The sequence below is a fragment of the Homo sapiens genome, chromosome 7 (assembly GCF_000001405.40).
Source record: "Homo sapiens chromosome 7, GRCh38.p14 Primary Assembly".
Classification (NCBI taxonomy): Eukaryota; Metazoa; Chordata; class Mammalia; order Primates; family Hominidae; genus Homo; species Homo sapiens.
Window position 1 is genome coordinate 148,280,729 of NC_000007.14, and position 24,564 is coordinate 148,305,292.

Genomic DNA, 24,564 nt, shown 5'->3' on the forward strand with positions numbered 1-24,564 from the left:
GTCAACACGGCAAAACCCCGTCTCTACTAAAAATACAAAAATTAGCCAGGCAAGATGGCGGGAGCCTGTAATCTCAGCTACTTGGGAGGCTGAGGCAGGAGAATCGCTTGAACCTAGGAGACGGAAGTTGCAGTGAGCAGAGATCACACCACTGGACTCCAGCCTGGGCAACAGAGGGAGACTCCATCTCAAAAAAAAAAGAAAAAAGAAAAGGAAAAGCAATAAAAGTAAAAGAAGACCAAGTCCACCTTCTTCTGTGGAGCCATTTATTCATGGGATATTTAGTCAGTGTCTCCTAGGGGCTAGTGCCATCCACCCTGGGGGAGCGTGAGGGACAGGAGAGGGACCTGCAGCGATTAAGCCACCGGTTCTACCCATTCCCTCTTTACTTTCCTGCGCTAGCCAGTAGAGATTAGGAAATATGTGGGAATTATTATTTATTTACAGCTTAGAATTTTGTAGTTCTTTTAGAGTCATTATTGAAGAGAATGATTAATATAATACATTTCTTTAAAAAGGAGCTAGAGAAAATGGGGTAGATTAAACTGCCTGCAACTTCTCTCAAGGAAAGTCCCCGATGGCAGCTTATCGCCTTGTGATTTATCTCTACCTCCTAAGAGTAGAATGCAGCAAAATTGATAAATGAACAAATGGCAAATAGTTAATTGAAATTTCTGGTCAGTTGCCTTTGCGTTTTACTATAAGGACAGAAGCAGCAGGAAAGCACTGATGAGAAAGCTCATTGAAGTGATAGGTGAGAAATAATATTTAAACTGAAGAGAAGAAATTATGTCCTGTTTTTCATATCCTAAAGAACATATAGCGTAGTCTTAATGTCCAGAATCTTCTCAAGGCTGAAGGAAATCTATTTTAAAAGAATTCACTCAGGGAGTTCTAGTTCAAGGCTGGCTTCTCATTCTTTTTTAATTGCATTGACTTTCATTCTTAGACATTTATTGGGCTTTATTATTATTATTGCCTTATAGAATCATAGGAGGCCCTAAGAAATAATTTGTTGAAACTTTGTCACATTACAGCTGAGGAAAATGAGGCCCAGAAAGGTTAAATGAAGCCAAGGTCACATAGCTGGTACTTCACAACGTTTCCTTTTTTTTTTTTTTTTTTTGAGACGGAGTCTCACTCTGTCACCAGGTTGGAGTGCAATGGCGTGATCTCAGCTCACTGCAACCTCCACCTCCCGGGTTCAAGCAATTCTCCTGTGAGTAGCTGAGACTACAGGCTCACACCACCACACCCGGCTAATTTTTGTATTTTTAGTAGAGACAGGGTTTTACCACATGAGCCAGGATGGTCTCGATCTCCTGACCTCATGATCCACCCACCTCGGCCTCCTAAAGTTCTGGGATTACAGTCATAAGCCACCACACCCAGCCTTCAACGATATTTTCAATATAATATACTGTCAATATCAGAATAATCTTTGCTTATCACCCAAATGTGTCTTTAACAAGGACAATAAATAATTAATACATCATAACCTGCAAACATACTCTCAATATCTAGATAAAACAGCTGCAAAGGCAAATCTTGTCATAAGTGTAGGCTGGAAGAGGATATTTTGAACATTGAGGGTCAGGCTCAATACAGGCTCTGTGTCAGAACACCTGCAATTCCAGTTGCCTCACCTGCTCGAGGAGCTTTAACAGGTTTCTTACAAATCTCAGCTTCAGTTTTCTTAACCGTGAAATGAGAATGATAGTAGTGCCAATATCATAAGCTTTGTTAGGAAGATGAAAGATGCTATCATGAATGTAAAGGGCTTATCACACAGCCTGGCACACAGTGAGTGTCCAGTACGTCTTAGGCAGTATCATTACATCTAATCTTTGACTTTTAGCTAATACAAATAAAGAATGGCTGACTCCAATCCTGGGTCACTCATAAAAAGAACACTCAAACAATGAAAAACTGAAAAAAACTTTTGATTGAAAACCAATTGGTATCATCATCTTTCCATGGTTTCCAAAATTAAATTATTTTTAATTAACAAAAGCAACCCCCACCAAAAAAAATCATTTATTGTTAAAATGTGATGAGAGATCAGAAGTTCTGTTTTAATCACATTTTTAGTATTTGGTTAAAGAAGATTGTCAAAACACTTATTTCTGTCCCAAATCTTCAACTCACCTGTCTTTGACACACAACATACTTTTGCATACCCAATTGTTTTGAAATAAACAAACATTTGAAAGCCAAAATTCTAGGCTGGGCTCGGTAGCTCACACCTGTAATCCCAGCACTTTGGGAGGCCAAGGCAGGTGGATCACCTGAGGTCAGGAGTTCGAGACCAGCCTGGCCAACATGGTGAAATCCCATCTCTACTTTAAAAAACTACAAAAATTAGCCAGGTATGGTGGCAGGCACCTGTAAGCTCAGCTACTTGGGAGGCTGAGGCAGGAGAATTGCTTAAACCCAGGAGGTGGAGTTGCAGTGAGCCACCAAGATCATGCCATTGCACTCCAGCCTGGGCAACAAAAGCAACTCTGTCTCAAAAAAAAAAAAAAAAAAAGAAAGAAAGAAAGAAAGAAAGAAAGAAAGAAAGAAAGAAAGAAAGAAAGGAAGGAAGGAAGGAAAGAAAGAAAGAATTCTTATTATTATAACATTCCAAAGTATTCCAGAAGGCATGGAAAATTTTTGAATTTCTTATTTATATACAGTTGATCATTATTATTATACATTTCATATTTACAAATTCACCTACTCTCTAAAATTTATTTAGAACCTCAAAAGTAGTATTCTTGGTGCTTTTGTGGTTATTTGCAGACATGTGCTGTGCAGCAAACAATTTGTCATCAATGTGTACATTCTCATTTGAAGTCAAACAAGGTGATGCCCTTGCCTTCTAGTTTCAGCTCTTATACCATAAACAAGTATCATTTTTGTAGTCTATTCAGTGCCATTTTTTTTGCATTCTTGTGTTTTTATTGGTGATTTTACTGTATAAAATGGCCCCTAAGTGGAGTGCTGAAATGCTATCTATTGCTCCTAAGCACAAGACGCTGCGATCTGTCCTGTGGAGAAAATACATCTGTTAGATGAGCTGTCTTTAGGCATGACTGATTGTGCTGGCAGCCATGAGCTCAATGTTAATAAATCAACAACATTTATTTCAAAACTGAATATTAAATAAGATACACACATAAAGCAAGGTAATGTATTGGTTGGTTGATAAAATGTTATGACCAGATGCTTGCAGGAACCTAACCCTGTATTTACTTTAGGAACAATGTTTTAGTATTCACTAATTGAGTGTTAGCAGCAACTGTATGAAACATAGCTACTGCAAATAGTGACAATTGACTGAATTATTTTTAACCTGCATCACATGAATATGATGATACATTATGTTTTTATATTATTTTGCAGTTTAAACAGCTCTTCCACAGCTATTATCACACATGATGTTCATGGAGCGTTACAGTTTGGCTGTGTCCCCACCCAAATCTCATCTTGAATTGTAGCTCCCATAATTCCCACTTGTTGTGGGAGGGACCCGATGGGAGATAATTGAATCATGGGGGGGTTTCCCCCATACTGTTCTCATGGTAGTGAAGAAGTCTCATGAGATCTGATGGTTTTATAAGGGGTTTCCCTTTCAGTTGGCTCTCATTCTCTCTTGCCTGCTGCCATGTAAGATGTGCCTTTCACCTTCTGCCATGATTATGAGGCCTCCCCAGCCATGTGGAACTGTGAGTCCATTAAACCTCTTTTTCTCTGTAAATTACCCAGTCTCAGGTACGTCTTTATCAGCAAAGTGAAAACAGACTAATACATGGAGGTAAGAGGAGAGTGGTTACTGCTCAGCACACTAGATTAACAAGTCCAACTAAGGCTACCCAGGTAGAGCCTGGTCTTCTCCTTCTGGTTTGTGAAATCTCATGGTGCTTCCTATAGCATAAAGACTGGCTGTCACTCAACACCACTGCATCTTAAGGTCCGTGGAAGGGGAACATAACATGTTTCGAAGAAAAAGGTCTGGGCTACAAAGACCCTTTATGTAATCTTGCTAACGACCTGGAATTTAAACTTTGGAGAGCTTGAAGGTTAACAAATTGGAATAAAAAGAAATCAAGTCACTCCTTGTTTGAATGCTCTGAAGAACAAAACAGAAAAACACAATGAAATGGTAACAGAAGAAGCAGATTTGGCCCAATAAGTCTATGCTTTGAATGTTCCTCCGGCACTAACATGGCCACATTTGGGAAGACTGGCATCCCCACAGACTTTTCTGTAGCACTTTGAAGGAAGAATAGAGCAGTTGTAGAAAAACAAATGTTTGCATGAAAGAATTATTCACCTCTTAAAAATCTATAGGGTGTGAATAATCCTGCTATAAAAAGCATTAAATGTTTATAACAGATATTTAATGGGACTGTTATGTTTTTTGGCAGCAAGCATGGCTAGATTTTGAATGTCACAGCTCTGTGCTCTGGTGATAAGACAGACTCTGTGGTCTAAGTAAGAATTATTTTCCTGCTTTTAAATGTAGCTGTTAAAAAACAATAAAGTGTATTTATCTAAGGAAGATAATCTTCTAAAAGAAGTGTTTAATAATTTTTAATTCACAATTTATACTACTTCTCCAAGGTAAATTCATTTTCCAACTGTTACTCCATCTTTATTGACTGGGAGGAATTAGCATTCAAAATACAAACTCAGAGGTTAAAGCAAAGCCATACACAGAAGTGAGCCTTATTCCATTGTCTTTTATCACGGGTGCCAGATTTATTTAACAGACTGTCTTTCAGTCTCACTTACAGTAACTAGACAGGTACTATGGAGGACAGTGTATGTTGAATGCCTTCCAAGTGTGAAACACCTGCCTGGCACTACATTATCACTAATTCTAACCTTGCAAGTAAGTGCCTACTTAAATCTGCACTTGACATGTGAGGAAAGAGGCTCTGAAGTTTTAAAGTGACATGTGCCAAGTCATATAGCTAGTAAGTGGTAGAACCATGATTCCAGGGTGGGTCTTTCTGTGCTTGTTGGTTTATTTACTGTCTGTGTTTGTTTTATGAAAGAGAAAAGACCCTGAGAGATAGGCATAGTACAGGTGACCCTTGAACAACAGGAGAATTAGGGGTGCTGACCCCCTATGCAGTCAAAATTTTGCATACAACTTTTGGCTTTTCAGAAACTTACTGCCAATAGCTTACTGTTGACCAGAAGCCTTACTGATAACATGAACAGTTGATAAAGACATATTTTGTATATGTATTATATACTGTATTCTTATAATAAATTAAGCTAGAGAAAAGAAAACATTATTAGGAAAATCATAGGAAAGATAAAATACATTTATTATTCCTTAAATGGAAGTGGAACATCATAAAGGTCTTCATCCTCATCTTCTTCACATTGAGTAGGCTGAGGAGGAGGAAGAGGGGTTAGTCTTACTGTCTCAGGGTTGGCAGAGGCAGGAGAAAATCTACATATAAGTAGACTCATGCAGTTTAAAACCATATTGTTCAAGGGTCAACTGTGTATTTATTTGATGCTTCAGAAAGGGGACCATGTCAATTCCTGATAAGGTTCTCTCCTCTTTCCTTTTCCTCCATCTCTCTGTGTCGATCCTAGTGCTCTCATCGGCTTTTAACCAGTAGAGGTCTCCAAACTGTCTTGTGGCAGCCTGGGCTCCCTATACACAGAAAGACCTGGCTTCAAAATTCTGGTTAATATGGGAAGTGCATTAGGAAGTAGAAAGGAAAGAAAAGTCAAACAATAAGGAAAGGATTAATATAAATCATAAATTAATTTTGTGGGCCTAATTACTATTTTTTAAAACACTGTAAGTTTTAGTAGATTTTCTTACTCTAAGTTATAGAAGTCAAACCCTAAAACACGTTAAAAAAAATCTTTTTGTTATTTCTTAACTATTACGGTTATTTTATCAAAATTAATTAATATCAAATTAATGATAATACAAAGGAAGTCACATTATTAATTAAACAAAGTGACTTAGCCTTGCAAATAAAACACTATCGTGTGGATTAATAGTTTGAAGGTTTAACTTTACAGCCTTTTCAATTGACTGTAATTTAGAGCATTTTTAGGTTCACAGAAAAATGGAGCAAAAAGTACAGAGAGTTTCCATATACTCCCTCACCCCTCCCCACGTTATACATAGTTTCTCTTCTTATTAACATCTTTCTACGTCATGTTTTTGGTGTTACATACTTGCCACACATAGTACCCTAATAATCTCTTGGGCCGTACATTCTCTGGGTTTGGACAAATGTGTAATGACACAGATCCACCATTACAGTATCATAGAGAGTGGTTCCCCTGCCCTAAAAGTCCTCTGTCTCCACCTGTTCATCCCTCCCTCCCCTCTGCTCCTTGCCCGGTCCCCAGGCAACTACTGATCTTTTTCCTGCCTCTATAGCTTTGCCTTTTCCAGAATGTCATATAATTGGAATCATACAATATGTACCCTTTTCAGATTAGCTTCTTTCACTTTGTAAAATACATCTAAGTTTCCTTCAGGTCATGGCTTGATAGATCATTTCTTTTGATTGATAAATAATATTTCAGCCTTATTTTTGTAAGGAAAAAATCAAATCAAGAAACTAAAGTTTGAACAGCCACTATAGAAAAAAAGGCAAAAGTCAATAAACAAAAACAATTGTTCAGCTTCGCTCATAATTGTATACACCTCCCAGCTCTTGGACTAGGTAACATCAGTGGCCAGCAAGATGCCACCGATTGAGTGATTGTTTTTATTTCATGCCATGTGACCCATTGGCCCTCCTTTTCCTGACACATTTATAATCATCTTAATCCCAAAGCAACTGTTTTTAACAAATATGCATATATCCTCTGATTTTCTGTTGCTATAACAGAATACCCAAGAGTGGGTAATTTATAAAGAAAATGACTTTATTTCATTCATGCTTCTGGAGGCTGGGAAGTCCAAGGTCCAGGGGCCACTTCTGGTGAGGACTTTCTTGCTGTGTCATGGCATGGTGGAGGGCATCACATGGTGAGAAGGCAAGACCAGGTCAACTCAGGTCTCTCTTCCTCTTTCTTTCTTTCTTTTTTTCTTTTTTTTTTTTTGAATTGGAGTTTCACTCTTGTTGCCCAGGCTGGAGTGCAATGGCATGATGTTGGCTCACTGCAACCTCCACCTCCCGGGTTCAATTGATTCTCCTACTTCAGCCTCCGGAGTAGCTGGGATTACAGGCACGTGCCACCACGCCCAGCTAATTTTTGTATTTTTACTAGAGATGGGGTTTCACCATGTTGGCCAGGATGGTCTCAATCTCTTGACTTCGTGATCGGCCCGCCTTGGCCCCCCAAAGTGCGGGGATTACAGGCGTGAGCCACCGCGCCCAACCTTTTTTTTTTTCTTTTCTTTTTTTTTTTTAAAGACAGTCTCACACTGTCGCCCGGGCTGGAGTGCAATGGCACAATCTTGGCTCACTGCAAGCTCCGCCTCCCAGCTTCAAGTGATTCTCCTGCCTCAGCCTCCCAAGTAGCTGGGATTACAGGCGCCCACCACCATGCCCAGCTACTTTTTTGTATTTTTAGTAGAGGCGGGGTTTCACTATGTTGGCCAAGCTGGTCTCAAACTCCTGACTTCGTGATCTGCCCGCCTCATCCTCCCAAAGTGCTGGGATTAAAGGCATGAGCCACCGCGCCCCGCCTCTCTTCCTCTTTCTTTAAAGCCACCAGCCCCATCATAGGGACCCACCGCGATGACCTTATCTAATTCTAATTACCTCCCAAAGGCCCCACCTCCAAATACCATCAACATATGAATTTAGAGATTAAGTGTCCAACACATGAAATTTGGGGGACACATTCAAACCATAGCATCTTCTTTAAGATAATGTAAAACTATTAAATTAAATAATAGAGTAGAAATCACACTAATAATTTGTGGGTCTATTCAGATTATATATTACCTAATAATTTTTACCTATTTTTTGAAAATTGTTCCAATCATTCCCCCTGCTTCCTTTTCAAAAGAGTCAAACATAGCCAGTTAATTTAAGGTATCTGCAAAACCTTTCCACCAAGACTTTTATGGTACAGAGAAGTGACTCATAAGCCACAATTCAATTAAATTTAGCAAATATTTCTTGGACAACAACTACATGCTTGAGGTTGGCATGGGGACCTGTTTTTAAACCTCCTGTTCATTCTACTTTGACTTTTTAATTACAACAGATTAAAATATCTTATTCAGCAAAAAAAAAAAAAAAAAAAAAAAAAGAGAGAAAAACCCACTTTGTATATTGAATTTTTGAATACACAAGAGAAGTGCAACTCAGGGTGGTGGGATTCCTACCTAGCAGGCCTGTCTCCCTTTGATTACCCCAATATTCCAAAGGTGCAGGTTTTGTGCACCAGGCACTCTAATAGGACCCTATCAGCTCAGCGCTCTCAGAAATTTCAGTTGTCTCCCAGCCCCTAGAAAGTCACAATAGCTCCAGGGTTGTGCTTAACGGGCCATAGTGGGAGGATTTGGAAAGGAGAAGGTGAATCTTTTCTGTGAAAAGCAGGTGGAGGAAACTGAAGAGTGGGGAGAAGAGAGGTGGATGCTGACCTGAATTGTGTTTTCAGGAGCAGGAAGAGTGTGCTCTCTGCTTAAGAGATGACCTGAATGGCAAGACTACATGTCACTCGGATGGTACACAGATACTGTCTTGATGGGAGTTTTCGGAACAGATTTGTCCTCCCAGGGTGAAATAGCAGAGAGATTTGAGGCAGCCCTCAACTAGAGTATGACCAATAAACACCAACTTACTTGGTTTTTTTCATTCCTTTTTCCCTGTGTCCAAGAAGCAAAATGATAATGTAAATGAATACACACACACTCACACTCACACACACACACACACACACCCCATGTTGGGGAGGCGGGTAAAGGAACAGAATTGCTCTCAGCAAACACTGGTGGCATCAAAATAGCCAATCATGCTGATGGCTGCCACACAGCTCATGGAAGCCTTCCACAGGCCAGCTCTCTTGCTGTTGGCTGGCTGGACTTCCCAGCTCAGTCCCTCACCTCTTTACAGGACAAGGCACACCAGAAACCAAGGCTGTTGGGGGAGGCAGCAACAGAGACCAGACGTTCCCTCTGCACACACATGATGTCATCAATAGAAACTCTGCTGATGATGAACCCACTTTCACACAAACCTTTTAAAGCCTGAGTTATTTTTTGCAATGACAAAAATAACAAACCACATTTTTTTAAATAGCTTCCTTAATAATAATGGAAATTCAGGTGACATTAATGAAAATTGTAGCACATGTTCAAATCAGAATCTATGTTCAGTGTTATATGCAGAATATAAAGGGATTTCTTTTCTCAATTGATAGAAAAGGGAAGTCATATTTAAGTAGTCACGGTATCCTAGATTTTTAATATAGCAACATAATTGAATAATATTTTGATGTATCTGGTTTTAGTATTTAAGGTGATAAAATATTAAATTTAAGCTTAAAATTAAAAATAGAGGAAAAAGAAAAACAAATTGAACTGAAGTGAAAATGTTTCTTGTTTTTTAAAAAATCATTGTACATAACAGTTTTCACCTTCACTTTTAGAAATCAAAGCACAACCCTCTATCACATGGTAAAGAGAGTCAGCCATACGGAAAACCAAGCTGATTGTTCTATTCCTGTGCAAATTCTAACCCTAAAATATTTCTCTATAATGCTTTAAGAAAGAAAGTAAATCTGGAAAACATTTTTTATCATTTTGAAAGCTGCCTTTGTTTTGATTCTCATTGTGAAGGTCAAGGATAGGAGAATTTCCAGAGATGGGAATTTATCTTCACTTTATGCTATCATTTCAGAATGAATAGTGATCAGGTTCTAAATAATGCATTCCACAGGTGTGAGCAACCACCCTATCACTTTCTATCTTCATGTGGCTGGTGCCTACAACACTAAATTTCTGCGGCAGATTCATTAAGGTAGTTGTTCATTCCCTGTCGTAATTAGACCTCCCATTTCAGCCTTTTATGTCAAATCCATCACTCACCCTGGCACTCAGGCTCACCTCTTTACAAAGCCCTTCCCTGGTGCTATTCTGGCTCTAAACACAGGTGATAAATGTGTCAGCATGGGGCACATTCCTGTCCCTGAGGACCATCAATCGTTAAGTACAGAGAGCTTTTTCCAGCAGCCTTCTAAGATTTATACCCATGAGGATATTATTTTTGTGGCTGCATGAAGGAGAATTATTACTTGAAATGGGTTTTGTGAAAGGATGGTTTTGGTGTTGCTTTGGCACCATTTTAAGCTTCTTTTCACAAAATTGACCGGCGCAAGTCAGAATTTATACTTCTATGAATGTAGATCTTCACCATCTGATGGTGCTGAGTCCTACAGAGAAGAGGATTTGAGACTTTCCAGTTTTTAGAGATCTCTACGATGTGCAAGAATCTAGATATTCAGAGGCCGTACTGACTTCAATCACATGGTAAATTAGTATATGAGAGTTCGCAGTAATAAAAGAAGTATGTAAGTGATCAGCATGTGTTTTAGTCAGGGTTCTCTAGAGGGACAGAACTAATGGAATATATATATAATATATATATATATAAAATATGGAATTTATTATTAAGTAATAACTCACACGATCACAAGGTCCCACAATAGACCATCTGCAGGCTGAAGAGCAAGGAGAGACAGTCCGAGTTCCAAAACTGAAGAACTTGGAGTCCAATGTTCCAGGGCAGGAAGCATCCAGCACAAGAGAAAGATGTAGGCTGGGAGGCTAGGCCAAGTCTCCCTCTTCACATTTTTCTGCCTGCTTGTATTCTAGCCGTGCTGGCAGCTGATTAGATGGTGCCCACCCAGATTAAGGGTAGGTCTGCCTTTCCCAGCCCACTGACTCAAATGGTAATCTCCTTTGGCAACACCCTCACAGATACACCCAGGACCAATACTTTGCATCCTTCAGTCCAATCAAGTTGACAGTTAGTATTAACCCTCACAGCATGGGAGGTAATGCGTATGTTAAATAGTTTCATTTAGCCATTTCACAAGGTATACAGATTCCAAAACGTCATGTTGTATACCACAAATATATGAAATTTCTACTTGTCAATTTTTGAAAAAAAATGTTTAAAAGAAGTGTGTAAATAACTTCTTACTTTAGATATAAAATCTTAAGGGCCAGGAAAAGGGCACCAAAATCCAGCCTTTGACATCTCAGAAGAAGCGATGATTAATTTCATTTCATTCTGTTGGTTTCCATGGAGTGGTGCTGGGTGGTGAGGCAAACACAGCAGCAGGAATGTTAACATTTCATATTTTAGCCCTAGGAGTAAAGAAAAAAAACATGTCCCAGATCAGCACTAGCTAGAACCAGGAAACCCCAAAAGCAAAGGTTTTTTTGTTTTGTTTTGTTTTGTTCTGTTTTTTGTAAAAGACAGGTTTTCACAAAGGAAGTTTTCCAAATTCTATGTATAAGAGAGTTGAGAAGGAAGATTTTTCTCTCTTCTTGCCCAGGAGGACAAAGGGAAGAGTACCACATTAAGCCATTCAGGTAAAGTGAAGCTTATTGAACGCTGTGGATTAGGATAAAACTAATAGAGTTTTCATTTTTAAGCCAGTTCAGATATTCAGATTAATTATGGACGTAATGTAGAAAATACCAATTTCTGCAAGTTCTACATTTCATGTGAAATCCCAAAGAGGTTAAAGCTGATGGGTTTTAACTGATGAAAACACGTGCCTCTGATTAAAAATGTTTGTAGTGATGAAAACAAAGCATGCTAGAGTTACAGTGTGTAGCATGCTGAAGCCACCAGCAGAGCTTAGGGGACAAAAACAACTGTTTCCTAAGAGAAAAAGAGGCTGAGTATCTTAAGCCTGGGGAAGGGAAAAGACAGTAGTTAGCAAGCTCAGGTTAGCCACTGGTATTACTCTACCTTTCATGAGACTCTTCACTGGGGAGGTTGGGGAGATTCGGTCTCACCTAAAGGAGAGATGGCTCGTGAACCCAAGGATGCTGCAGGGACCCTGGCCACCACTTGCAGCCCAAACACTAGAATGAGGACCAGAGAACACAATCTAGCTGCTTCCCATCCATCCCCTCCACCCCAACATCTGGTCTCAGCAACTTCCTCTGCCCTACACTGGGATGCCCTCCTTAGTTGATCTGAACCATGCAGCAGATGAAACATGTTGGCCTGACAAGTAGCAGATGGCTATAATTGCCTGAGCCATCTACACCGGCAAATTTTTCTTCTTTATTTGCATATGAGTAAAATTTTTCCCAGTGTTAAATTATGGTGTGAGTAGAGATTTTTTGAGGGAGCACAGCGCAGTTGTATAGACATCGTGATTGACAAAAAATAAATAAAATAAAATAAAATAAATGACCAAAATCTGCTAAATGAATTTGAATTAAATTGTTCTAATGCTTTCTTTTTCTTTGTAACTCTTCACCACCACCTCAATACATGCATTCCTGGACATTCACGCATACACTCACACAAACACAAGCATGGTATTTTTTGTGTGTGAGACACTGAAGGTAGCATGAAATAGCAACCAAAAAATCTGCAGTATTAAAGTTAGATATGACTTGGTTTGACTTGCAAATCAACTGCCTCACTAGTAAGATGACTTCTGGTATATGGATATGTCTCTCAGTTTTACAGGCTTGTTTTCGGATTAATGGTAATAGATGTAAAGAATTGGGCACGGTAAGTCAATAGTCAAAGCTATTCAACAAATTGAGGACAAACAAGGAAATGGGTTAGGAATTGGTCTGTAGCCAGTCTCAGAAATGTTGTATTAACCTTTGGGATATAATCCCCCAAAATTAAAGTATAGTGATTCATCCAAAAGTACAAAGTGTTACTAGCAAGATGGATGAGGATTTCCATCTAACATTTTTCATCTTCTTATCCCTGACACATTATTAAAACACCTAGATTTTGGTAAAAGAGGAGAAGTCATGTCTTGGACAGGATTGAAGGTTGTGTCAACATTCCCTATGCTTTCAAGTTTCAGCTTTAGAATCCAAAACCCCCGGGCACAGTGGCTCACATCTGTAATCCCAGCACTTTGGGAGGTCGAGGCAGGCACATCACTTGAGGTCAGGAGTTCAAGACAAGCCTAGCCAACATGGTGAAACCTCATTTCTACTAAAAATATGGAAATTAGCCAGTCATGGTGGCGCATTACTATAATCGCAGCTACTCGGGAGGCTGAGGCAGGAGAACCGCTTGAACCCGGGAGGCAGAGGCTGCAATAAGCCGAGATTGCATTGCACCACTGCATTCCAGCCTGGGCAGCAGAGCGAGGCTCCATCTCAAAAAAAAAAAAAAAAAAAAAAAAAAAAGAATCTAAACCCTTTGGTTCACAGATGGAAGGAAAAAGCAGGCGGTGTTTCCTATTCTATGTGTATGCCATGCCTCGAGCCCTGAACAGGCTACTCATCTGTGGCCAATATTATATTATAACCTCTCCATTCTCAGAAGGCACGCTGGCACCCATCTCTGCAAGAAAGGCATCAAATTGTCTGTAAGTCACAGAAATGTTATTGTATTGTCCTTTATTCATTCATTCAGAATATACTCTCTAAGCATCTATGTAATTAAACATTACTAAGCTTACATATAATTAACCTCGAAATAATAACTAAGCATTGTTAGTTTTATGTACGGCTAACTTAAGAAATAAACTCACTTTCTAGTTATCAGTTTTGGAAAACAAAAGAGCTCTATAACAATTTTGAATTAATCAAAAATTGGAGAATTCTGTGCAAACCTATAATCCTTCCCTCTTTAGGGTGAAGGAGCAACGCTTTGTGTTACTTAAAGACACACTTTGCCATTGTGATTAACTATAATAACTTTTAAAATAATCAAAAAATCAGTCCACTTTCTTGTCTATTTGTGTATTGATCACTAAAATTATTGTACCTAGTATGATCAACTTTGTATATTACTGTATTTCATTAAAGCAGCTAACTTCTCTTGTCCAGACATAAGAGAACACTAGAAGACAAAAAACAAAAAACTTTTATGAATCTCTTTTCCTTACGAACACTAATTTTATACCATTTTAACATACTTGAGGTGGCAAAAATAAACATATATATATTATATCATCCAAAAGTATTTGCATATTTTATTAATCTATTGCCATTCTAAGAATTCAGGGTAAGTTAAAATTGTGTTACCAACCAGCATTTATTTTGCATCTGTTTCACTCTTGAAATTGTCTAGGTTTCAAAGATTATTAACTAATTAACTTCACCATTTGTCTAAGGTCTTAAAGTTAGTTAAGGATCGAGAAATCACAATTTTTGCAAACATAATGAATCCTGACACCCAGCACTTAAAAATTTTACAAAACTTAATTCTTTTAAAAATCCATTACCTTTTCATTTAATTGACTATAATTATATGTATGTATGTGTATACATTTTAAACAAGTTATAAAATTTGTGATGATCCACTTATAAAAACAATGTAGGAAATTTAGGAACTTAAATGATAAGAAATTTATCATTGGTCTCGTACAAACCAAAGTATTATTCTGATATTATTTTTATATGATAAATGAAATTGTAAAGACCCTAAGTCGTGCTCAAGGCTCTTCTTCTATCTTGAACTAAGGTTTTCTTCTTATCTTGTAACTATAGTAACAAGGGCTACAAAAGAAGCACAGCTTAATATTTTTCCTTTTAGACATTTTTGACTACTAATATGGTACAGATATTCCTAATGTGCACTCATAATGATAGAGTGAATATTTTAATCAATTTTTTTTTTTTTTGAGACGGAGTCTCGCTCTGTCGCCCAGGCGGGAGTGCTGTGGCGCAGTCTCGGCTCACTGCAAGCTCCGCCTCCCGGGTTCACCCCATTCTCCTGCCTCAGCCTCCCGAGTAGCTGGGACTACCGGTGCCCGCCACCGCGCCTGGCTAATTTTTTGTATTTTTAGTAGAGACAGGGTTTCACCGTGTTAGCCAGGATGGTCTCCATCTCCTGACCTCGTGATCCATCCGCCTCGGCCTCCCAAAGTGCTGGGATTCCAGACATGAGCCAACGCGCCCGGCCTCAATTAATTTTTAAAGCTTCCCAAAAGAGGATAAAAGAGGAGGAAAGGAATAGAAAAAAAAGCAGTGATAGGGACCCACCTTCAGACACTTAAGACATTATCGCTGTAAAAAGCAAGGGTCTTCCCTCTGCAAGAAGAGGCACTAAATGTTTAGATTCAGGAAAACCCACTGTGACATATATACATGCAAAAGATAACTCTTACAGCTGGTATAAACAATTATTTGGGCCTTGAAATTCTTATCAAGTAACATGTTTAAAAGCCAGACTTTATTAATCCTCAAAGAACAGAAATGTAGAAAACAGCATTTACAATGAGCCAAAAACTCTCTCTTTTTAGATTGCAAGACAGGTATCTCTTCATGAAGCTTTCTCCAATTTTTGTTCTCAGGCACCACTCAAATGAACAATCTTGTTCATGTCAAAAAGGTCCCCAAAATAGCCACTGCAGTTCAAAATTATCCTGTGAAATTGGCTAGGCATGGTAGCTCACATCTGTAATCCTAGCACTGAGGTGGGCAGATTGCCTGAGATCAGGAGTTTGAGACCAGCCTGGGCAACACAGTGAGACCCCCCCCGCCCACCATCTCTACTAAAATACAAAAAATTATCCAGGCATAGTGGCATACGCCTGTAGTCCCAGCTACTCGGGAGGCTGAGGCATGAGAATTGCTTGCACCCGGGGGTGGAGTTCGCAGTGAGCCAAGATCACGCTGCTGCACTTCAGCCTGGGAAACAGAGCAAGACTCTGTCTCAAAAAAAAAAAAAAAAAAAAAAATTATCCCGTGAAATTCTGCCAGTTAAAGACACAAGCATGTCAGTTAAGGTGATGTGAGAAAGCAGGTATTTGTTTCATAGAAAATGCCCAGTTTTAGGATGGATCAGACACTATGAGCACTGCAATAGATCCTCCCACACGATGGTGCCCGTGCAGCCTACTTTCGTCAGGACTTGGCCAAAGCCCATTCCAGGGTCAGACAATCCCTTCTGATTTCAAGAAGCCTAATCTAAACAAAGCAGCTCTCAGGAAAAGAACAAGACCGACGAAAAAGTTCTTCTAAGGGTTCGAAATCATGACCCAAGTCAAAGTTTATTCAAAGAATGTTGATTGTAGGAGAACTTCTGAACTCCTAGGCCCCTGAGCCAGCTCAAGAACTGACTTACCTGGCTTATGCTCATTGTCTCCCTAGAGACCTTTTGTTTTAGAGATAAAGAACACTCAAGACACTGTACAAGCAGACAGTCCATAGGAACATATATCTGTAGACTGGTAAACAGTATCACCAAAGAACAATAAAAATCAGATCAGATAACCAAAAAGTCACTGGTAACCTTATTCCTAGGGGAAGAAAAAAAAAGAGAGGGAGATAGAGAAAAGGAAGGAAGGAAGGAAGGAAGGAAGGAAGGAAGGAAGGAAAAACACCTAAAGTGGAAGGACCTCAGCAGAATATGGAAGCTCAGTTCAGCATGAACTTCTCCTAGCACGGGCAGTGTGGTTACATCAGACAGCTAGAGACACAAAGGGTCTCAAATAAGCACACTAAAATTGGTGAGTGGAGGGTTCCCATCCAAGACTGTAGGGCTCACAGATGAATATTGATGGATCTTCAAATGCAGAGATTAATTACAGCCACTGACCACTAGGAGCCCACCTGTAGTAGAACAAATGTGGGATTCTTCACTCATTGCATCATGGGAGATTGCTCATTATGGAGAACCATAGAGGCATCTCAGTAAGAGGATGCTGGAAAGAGGGTGCTAGAAAGTGCTATTCGGTTTTCAGTAGGTGATTTGGGGAGAGTTAAAAAAAGTAGGGGTTTGTTCTAGATTGGATACTGTCAGGAAGCAGGTAATTCTGTGATTGAATATCTTAATTTTTTTTTATCTTGAAGACAGTAGAGAAAAACAGCTGTAGTTGGTAAAGAAGTAGAAATGATGTGTATTAGGCTGAGAAGGGGTATGTTGGATCATTTTCGTGTTCTGGCCAGTTTTCTTTTTTCAGTGCTGAGACATGTCTCATGGAGTGACCTCTTCTTTGCCTTTCCCCATGAAGGTCACGGAATGACCTTGTCTGATGTTGAGTTCTGTGAAATGGATCACCCCAAACAGAAGCACACATGGCCTGGCTGTGAGTTCCCAAACAGCTCCCCACGCTCAAGAGCTGCTTTTCTTTCTCATTCTCAATTAAGGATTGAAGGAGGACACAAAAACACGATCACCAAAGGAAAATGAAACAAATTTAAAGTAAATAAAACTCAGCAAAAAGAAAAACTACAGGAAAAGAAAAGTAACTGTAGGAAACAATAATGACTTAGCCCTAAATGGCATTTACGTGGTCTTAATCATATGTGACCTTAATCCTATAAAAACCAAATTGTGATCTAACTCCAAGTCCAACCTGCCTATTTTAGAAGGGTAGTTGGATGGTGCTAGTGGATGGTGGGGAGGAGAGTAGAAGCTAACTCATCATCATCCGTATTGGTAAGTGAATAGATAATGCCTAAAAACATGTCATGAAATTGCAATGTCACCACATCATTTGGAGATACGTTTTTAAGTCAGCCTAAAGGGTTGAAAATGCTTCTAGGCTGGGGCAACGGGAGGGCAGAGCATAGAAGATGGTAATGATTCCTGACCATCCTTCAAGAACTATCTTTCTAATTTTTTCCATCTTCTCCTCCCTGCTTTATTCTAGCCACACTGGCAGCTGATTAGATGGTGCCCACCCAGATTGAGGGTGGGTCTGCCTCTCCCAGCCCACTGACTCAAATGCTAATTTCCTTTGGCAACACCCTCACAGACACACCCAGGAACAATACTTTACATCCAACCAAGTTCCAAGGATTGGAACAATACAATCAAGTTGACACTGAATATTAACCATCACACACAGACATATATACATATATATATATTTTTTAGACAGGGTCTCACTCTGTCACCCAGGCTGGAGTCGAGTGGTACAATCATGGCTTACTGCAGCCTGAAGCCTCAACCTCCTCAGCTCAGGTGATCCTCCCACCTCAGCCTCCCAAGTAACTGGGACTACAGGCACACACCACTACACCTTGCTAATTTTTGTATTTTTTGTAAAGATGGGGTCTCACTAAGTTGTCTATGGCTGGTCTCGAACTCCTGGGCTCAAGTGATCCACCCACTGTGGTCTCCTAAAGTAAGTCATGGCACCTGGCCAACTTTTTTTTTTTTTCTTTTTTTTTGAGATGGAGTCTTGCTCTGTCGCCTAGGCTGGAGTGCAGTGGCACGATCTCAGCTCACCACAATCTCTGCCTCCCAGGTTCACGCCTTTCTCCCACCTCAGCCTCCTGAGTAGCTGGGACTACAGGCGCCCACGACCACGCCTGGCTAATGTTTTGTATTTTTAGTAGAGACAGGGCTTCACCGTGTTAGCCAGAATGGTCTCAATCTCCCGACCTTGTGATGTGCCCTCCTCAGCCTCCCAAAATGCTGGTATTACAGATGTGAGCCACCACACCCGGCCCCAACTTTTTAAAAATATTTTTTAAAGAATGAGTAGAAGTAGCCAGGTGAAGAAAAGAAAAGGAAACAGAGCTGGGAAAAGGTGTGTTGCATCAGAAACTAGAGGAGGGCATTTCGCCTGGACCAGAGAAAGTTCTGATGAGCCAGGAAGGCTGGGCAGAGCCAGCTCAGGCCAGGCAGGCGCGATTCTGCACAGGACAGGATGCACCTCCAATGACCACGTGTTTCTAGGTTGTTTCCAAGGGCACACAGATAACAGTCAACGATTTTTTTCTGACTAGCCACTGTAGTGATCGCTGCTGTGTGACCCTCCACACTTTGCTTCCCTCGGGCCTCAGCTCCGCCTCATTCCACTGGCCTAATAATTAACTCAGCCTTATTTTCCCAACCTAATTGTTTCACAGACCAAAAGAAATATTGGATGTAAGGTACAATTTGAAAAGTGTAATGTGCTCTAGAAATGCATAAAATGATGATTAGTCTTTGCCCAGTAGGCTTTTTAGCTTAATAAGCTCCTGATAATACAGAAATCACTGTGAGCAACTGGCAGAGAAAGATTTTTCCATTTCTCTTAACTAAGAAAAGAGATTTAAAGTCACTTTGGAGAGCTAACACTAAATAATAATAACTGCCAAAGGAATTGATTTGATGCTGAATATAGGCTTGTGTAAGGAGGTAAAAAACTGTCCACTAAAGTTAATGCTCATAGTAAGAGGCCTCTGTCCTTGAATTCACCTTGAGAGAGTTGAACAGGGATAACGGATTTTCAAGGACACACATCTACAGAGAAAGGGCGTATGGAAATGGAAAAGGGAAAGCTGCTCCTAGTGTTTTTGCTGAATTGTTCTCTTTCTCTAACCCAGCAGGAGAGATGCTAAAGGAGATTTTGTCAAAGAAAATCCTTGACATTGGATTCTTAAAAGCCTTATGGTTTCATGATAGGCCCTTTACCAAGGATTCTTAAGGGACAACCTTATGTTAGAGAGAAACAAAGTCCTGAATCATATTTCCTCCTCTCTGGAATATATGTAGAAATACAAGTGAGAAGATAAATACATGTGTAAAAAGAAAATTCATACTTTCATACTCGTTATATGTTATGATTAAATGTTGATTGCATTTGGAGAGCATCAGCATATGAACTATATTACAGAAAGGATAGTCTTTTGTTTCATGGCTTAAATCTTCTTTTCTCAATAAGATTAAGGGGCTAGCTAAGATTATAATCATAACAATTTTTTTTTTTTCACTGAGTTTCCACCCTGTGAGGAACACTAGGCTAAGCAGGAAAAAAAAAAAAAAAAGTCACTAAAAGACCCTAGGCTATTTGTACACCAATGTTCATAGCAGCATTATTCACAATAGCAAAAAGGTGGAAAGAACCAAGTGTCCATAGATGGACAGATAAACAAAATGTGGTCTATACGTACAACATGGGTGAACCTTAACATTGTGTTAAGGGAAATAAGCCAGTTACAAAAGGACAAATACTGTATGATTCCATTTCTATGAGATACTTAGAGGAGTTGAAATCATAGACACAGAAAGTCAGATGGTGACTGCCAGGGGCTGGGAGGAGGGACAATGGGGAGTTGTTGTTTAATGGGTATAGAGTTTCAATTTTGCAAGACAAAGAATTTCCAGAGATGGGTGGTGGTGATGGTGCACAACAATGTGAATACACTTAATGCCACTGACTTGTACATTTAAAAGTAGGTTAAAATGGGCCAGGCATGGTGGCTCACACCTGTAATCCCAGCACTTTGGGAGGCCGAGGTGGGTGGATCACGAGGTCAGGAGTTTGAGACCAGCCTGACTAACATGGTGAAACCGCGTCTGTACTAAAAATACAAAAATTGGCTGGGCATGGTGGCATGCGCCTGTAATCCCAGCTACTCAGGAGGCTGAGGCAGGAGAATCACTGGAACCCGGGATGCGGAGGTTGTAGTTAGCCAAGATCATGCCACTTCACTTCAGCCTGGGTGACAAGGCGAGACTCCGTCTAAAAAAAAAAAAAAATATATATATATATATAGGTTAAAATGTCCATTTTATGTTAGGTACATTTTACTGCATAAAAAAAAAAAAGACTATGGGCAAGCCATTTCCTTCCTCTGTGCCTCAGTGACATTATCTGTGAAATAAATGTGTAGAAACAGATGGACTCCAAGGATGCATTCAACTCTGCAAGTCTGTGTGTCTAAACATCCCCTCTGTCCTCATGGGGTTTAGCAGCAAGTTGGAGAGATGAAATGCAGTAATAAAATGTAAAATACTTCTAGTTAATGTTTTAAGTACCCAATTAGTGATTTTTTAAAAAGGAATATGTATTCCCTTGAGAAGGGATAGAGCAGAAATCTGGAGGACAGCTTTGTGGAGATAGAACTGGACCATGCCCACTTCAAGAAGTATGTAGCTCGGATGTGGATCTGTGCCAGTGGGATGGCCTTAACAAAGGTGAGCAGGCTTCACCACACCAGGGGGTCCGTAGAACAGCAAGAAGATGAGCCTGTTGGTGGTAGAAGGCTTCTGCGTCAAAGTGAAGCATTGAGGAGGACCCATGGGTGACTTTGAGGGACTCTGAATGGAAGAGAGTGGATGGACGAGACACCTGGCCTATCCACAAACTGGCCCTATAGCCTTGAATAATCACTGGGACCTCAGTTCCTGCTGTATGACACCAAGGCTAGCTCCTTTACAAGACGGAAGCACAGCCTAGCTGATCTTGCTCTTCCTGCTGGAAAACTCCATGATTCTCTTTGCCTTCCAGGCAACAGACACATAAGATTCCTGCTGCCAGGTCACTGCTGGATGCTGGACTCCAGCAGTGACAGGCCCCGAACCTGCCCTTGTGAAGGCCACTTTCTTAGTGGTGGTGGCTCATCTAGCAGGCTGAGGAATGTACAAAGGATGTGTAAGAAAATCTACCTAGCAGTAGGGTATATAATGAGTTAAAGAACTGAGCTTCTACTGGCAATGAGACCAGCCAGGGTAATGTTGCAAAAGTTTAGATGTACATTAAGACCCAGAAGGGCTGAACTTGGTTAGGGGAGAGGAACATGAAATGAAAAGTCTAATGCATGAACCCTAGAACCACATGAATATTAAAGCTCACACTGAAGTATCTGTGCCTCCTTCTCCCTTGCCCTGCCCTTTTTCAGCCTCCCAAAGCTGCACCCATTCCTCCTGTGTCCCCAATATCCCCTATGCCATGTGATGTGGTTTGACTCTGTGTCCCCACCCAAATCTCATCTCGAACTGTAATCCCCATGTGTCAAGGGGGGACCTGGTGGGAGATGGTTGGATCATGAGGGTGGTTTGCCCCGCGCTGTTCTCAGGATAGTGAGTGAGTTCTCACAAGATCTGATGGTTTTATAAGGGGCTCTTCTCCCTTAGCTTTCGCTTCTCTCGCCTGCCTACTTCCCCTTCCCCATGATTGTAAGTTTCATGAGACCTCCCCAGCCATGTGGAACTGTGAATCAATTAAACCTCTTTCCTTTATAAATTACTCAGTCTCGATTATTCTTTTTTTTTTTTTTTTTTTTTTTGAGATTGAGTCTCTCTCTGTCACCCAGGCTGGAGTGCAGTGGCAGGATCTCGGCTCACTGCAACCTCTGCCTCCCAGGTTCAAGCAATTCTCCTGCCTCAGCTTCCTGAGTAGCTTGGATTACAGGCGCCTACTACTGTGTCTGGCTAATTTTTGTATTTTTAGTAGAGGCAGAGTTTCACATGTTGGCCATAGTTGATCCTGATCTCTCAGGAGATCTGCCCACCTTGGCCTCCCAAAGCACTTGGATTACAGGCATGAGCCTTGGGTATTTCTTTATAGCAGTGTGAAAATGGACTAATACACCATGGTAACTGGGTCCCATACATCCTGAAAATACTAATAGAACAAATATTCCCACTCCTGAAATTTAACTTGATCCTGAAGACGAAGGATTTCCTTGAGCTCATAAATGGAAGTGGTTCATCTTCCAGGTAGAGAATGCAAGGTAGATTGGTTTTGTTCACAGGGGTCATGCAGAGCTAAGCACATAGAAGGTGCTCAGTAAGCACCTGCTGAACATACTGAAGTGACATAGCCAGGCAGAGACGGGTAGGTGGACAGCCAACACGCCATGAGAGCTGGAAGGGCGCATCCTCTCTTAGGAGCTTGGGCCCTGGCCAGCTGACTCAGCTTCAAGCTCTGCTAGTACATAAGTCCCTCGGGGCCTATAAGCTTGGCCGTGTTGCAGCTGAAATTTCTGCTGAATAAGGTCATACATACTAAGCTGAGAATGCAATAGTGAGAATGGCTCCTTCTTTTTCGCATCCCAGACCCCAGAATAGAAATATTTACCATCACGTCTGGATGATAATATCAATAAATTATCAGACATTGCACGTATTAAGAAAAGCTCATTTTCTGGAAATTGTCCTTATTGTCCTAATTGGGAATTATCTTGAAGCCGTGGATAGAAAATGACCTTTCAGATTGCTGGGACAAAGCCCAAGTCTAAATTGGAAACGTGTTTAATGGCTAAGACAGCCCACTTCCAGATTAATTATGGATGCTTTTCCATTTCAAGATTACATTAGGAAGGAAAGTTGTCACTGGGTGGAATGTGAGTCTCCACTGCATCCTTTTAAGATAAATAAGTTGAAGTTTGAAGAAAATTTGAGATTACTTTTGGTTAAGTGAATAAAATCTGTTTAGCGAACTCTTTGAAGTTGTGGATTGCCTGGGAATCTACAAATCTGCAACCTCCCTCCCTCTAGATACATTCAGAGGGTAGAAGAGAAGTCATTTAAAACCTTATGCTTGACTTCTTGCTTCCTGCCTTGGTTTTTAACCAAAACTAAAAATAAAAAAGCCAAAAGAGAGGAAACTTGATAGGTTCAAAACAGGAAATTAGATTGTAAGCAAAGAAATTGTCCAAACATCGAAAAAAGGAACACATCAAAGAAGGGAGGTGCTTTGTTTTTATACTTTGTTATCGTCCTGGAAAAAAATGTCTGCTGCCTCTGATAATACATATTAACACTTCTTTTTTACTTAGCTTTTATTTTTATCAAAGTAATAAAATCATCTTGTTTAAAGTGTCAAATAGTTCTATATGGCTTATTAGGATAAACAACCATCCAATTTTCAAGATTTTTTTTTCCTTTGGCATTTGTCTTTAATTCTCTAAATATATTCACCTGCTACTTGAGGGGTCAGCAGACTTTTCCTGTAAAGAGCAAAACAATGAGTATTTTAGGCTTTGAGAGCCATAGAGTCTCTGTTGCAGTTACTCACCTCTGCTGTTGTAGCACAAAAGCAGCTGTGGGCAATATGTAAATGAGTGGGTGTAGCTGGGTGCTGAAAAAACTTTATCTACAAACACAGGTGGCTGCACAGTGGGCTGTCCTTTACCGTCTCCTAGGCTACTCCTTGAGTTTCTGTTTTTAGTCAGTCACTGTTAGGTGACTCCTGACTATGGAAGATGAGGATTAGGCTCTTTCACAGCCAACAACTCTCCTCCATGGCCTCCTCCCCTCCATGTTTTTCCTTTACCTTCACCCTTCCAATAGGATGGTTTACTGGCTTTGGATAGATCCGTATGCAGTGTTTACATCATCATGCTTTTCATAACTGAACCATATAATAGAGCTGTGTTTCCAGCCAGGCATGGTGGTTCATTCCTATAATCCCAGTGCTTTGGGAGGCACAGGTGAGGGATTGCTTGAGGCCAGGAGTTCAAGATCAACCTGGGCAACATAGTGTGAGATCCTGTCTCTACAAAAAAAAAAAAAAAAGACATTAACTTGGTATTATGGTGCACACCTGTAGTCCCAGCTACTTGGGAGGCTGAAGTGGGAGGATCACTTGAGCCCAGGAATTGGAGACTGCAGCGAGCTATGATAGCAACACTGCACTCCAGCCTGGGTGAAAGACCAAGGCCCTGTCTCAAAAAAAAAAAAAAAAAAAAAAAAAAAAAAGTTTCCTTTCCTACACACTATTTTGTTTTCCTTAATCATT

The 24,564-nt window shown here is 40.2% G+C and overlaps 1 protein-coding gene across 1 annotated transcript in view, besides 1 other annotated feature; it reads left to right on the forward strand.

Annotated features, from left to right (window-relative positions):
* Positions 1-24,564, forward strand: part of CNTNAP2 (contactin associated protein 2) — a 2,304,198-nt gene that overhangs the window by 2,163,928 nt on the left and 115,706 nt on the right. The gene's annotated exons all lie outside the window — the stretch shown is intronic.
* Positions 9,799-10,353: an enhancer, noted in NCBI's record as "OCT4-NANOG hESC enhancer chr7:147987619-147988173 (GRCh37/hg19 assembly coordinates)". NCBI's record gives its function as "activates a minimal SCP1, AML or CMV promoter by ChIP-STARR-seq in naive H9 embryonic stem cells {active_cell/tissue: H9 hESC(naive)}" and the evidence as "EXISTENCE:reporter gene assay evidence [ECO:0000049][PMID:30033119]".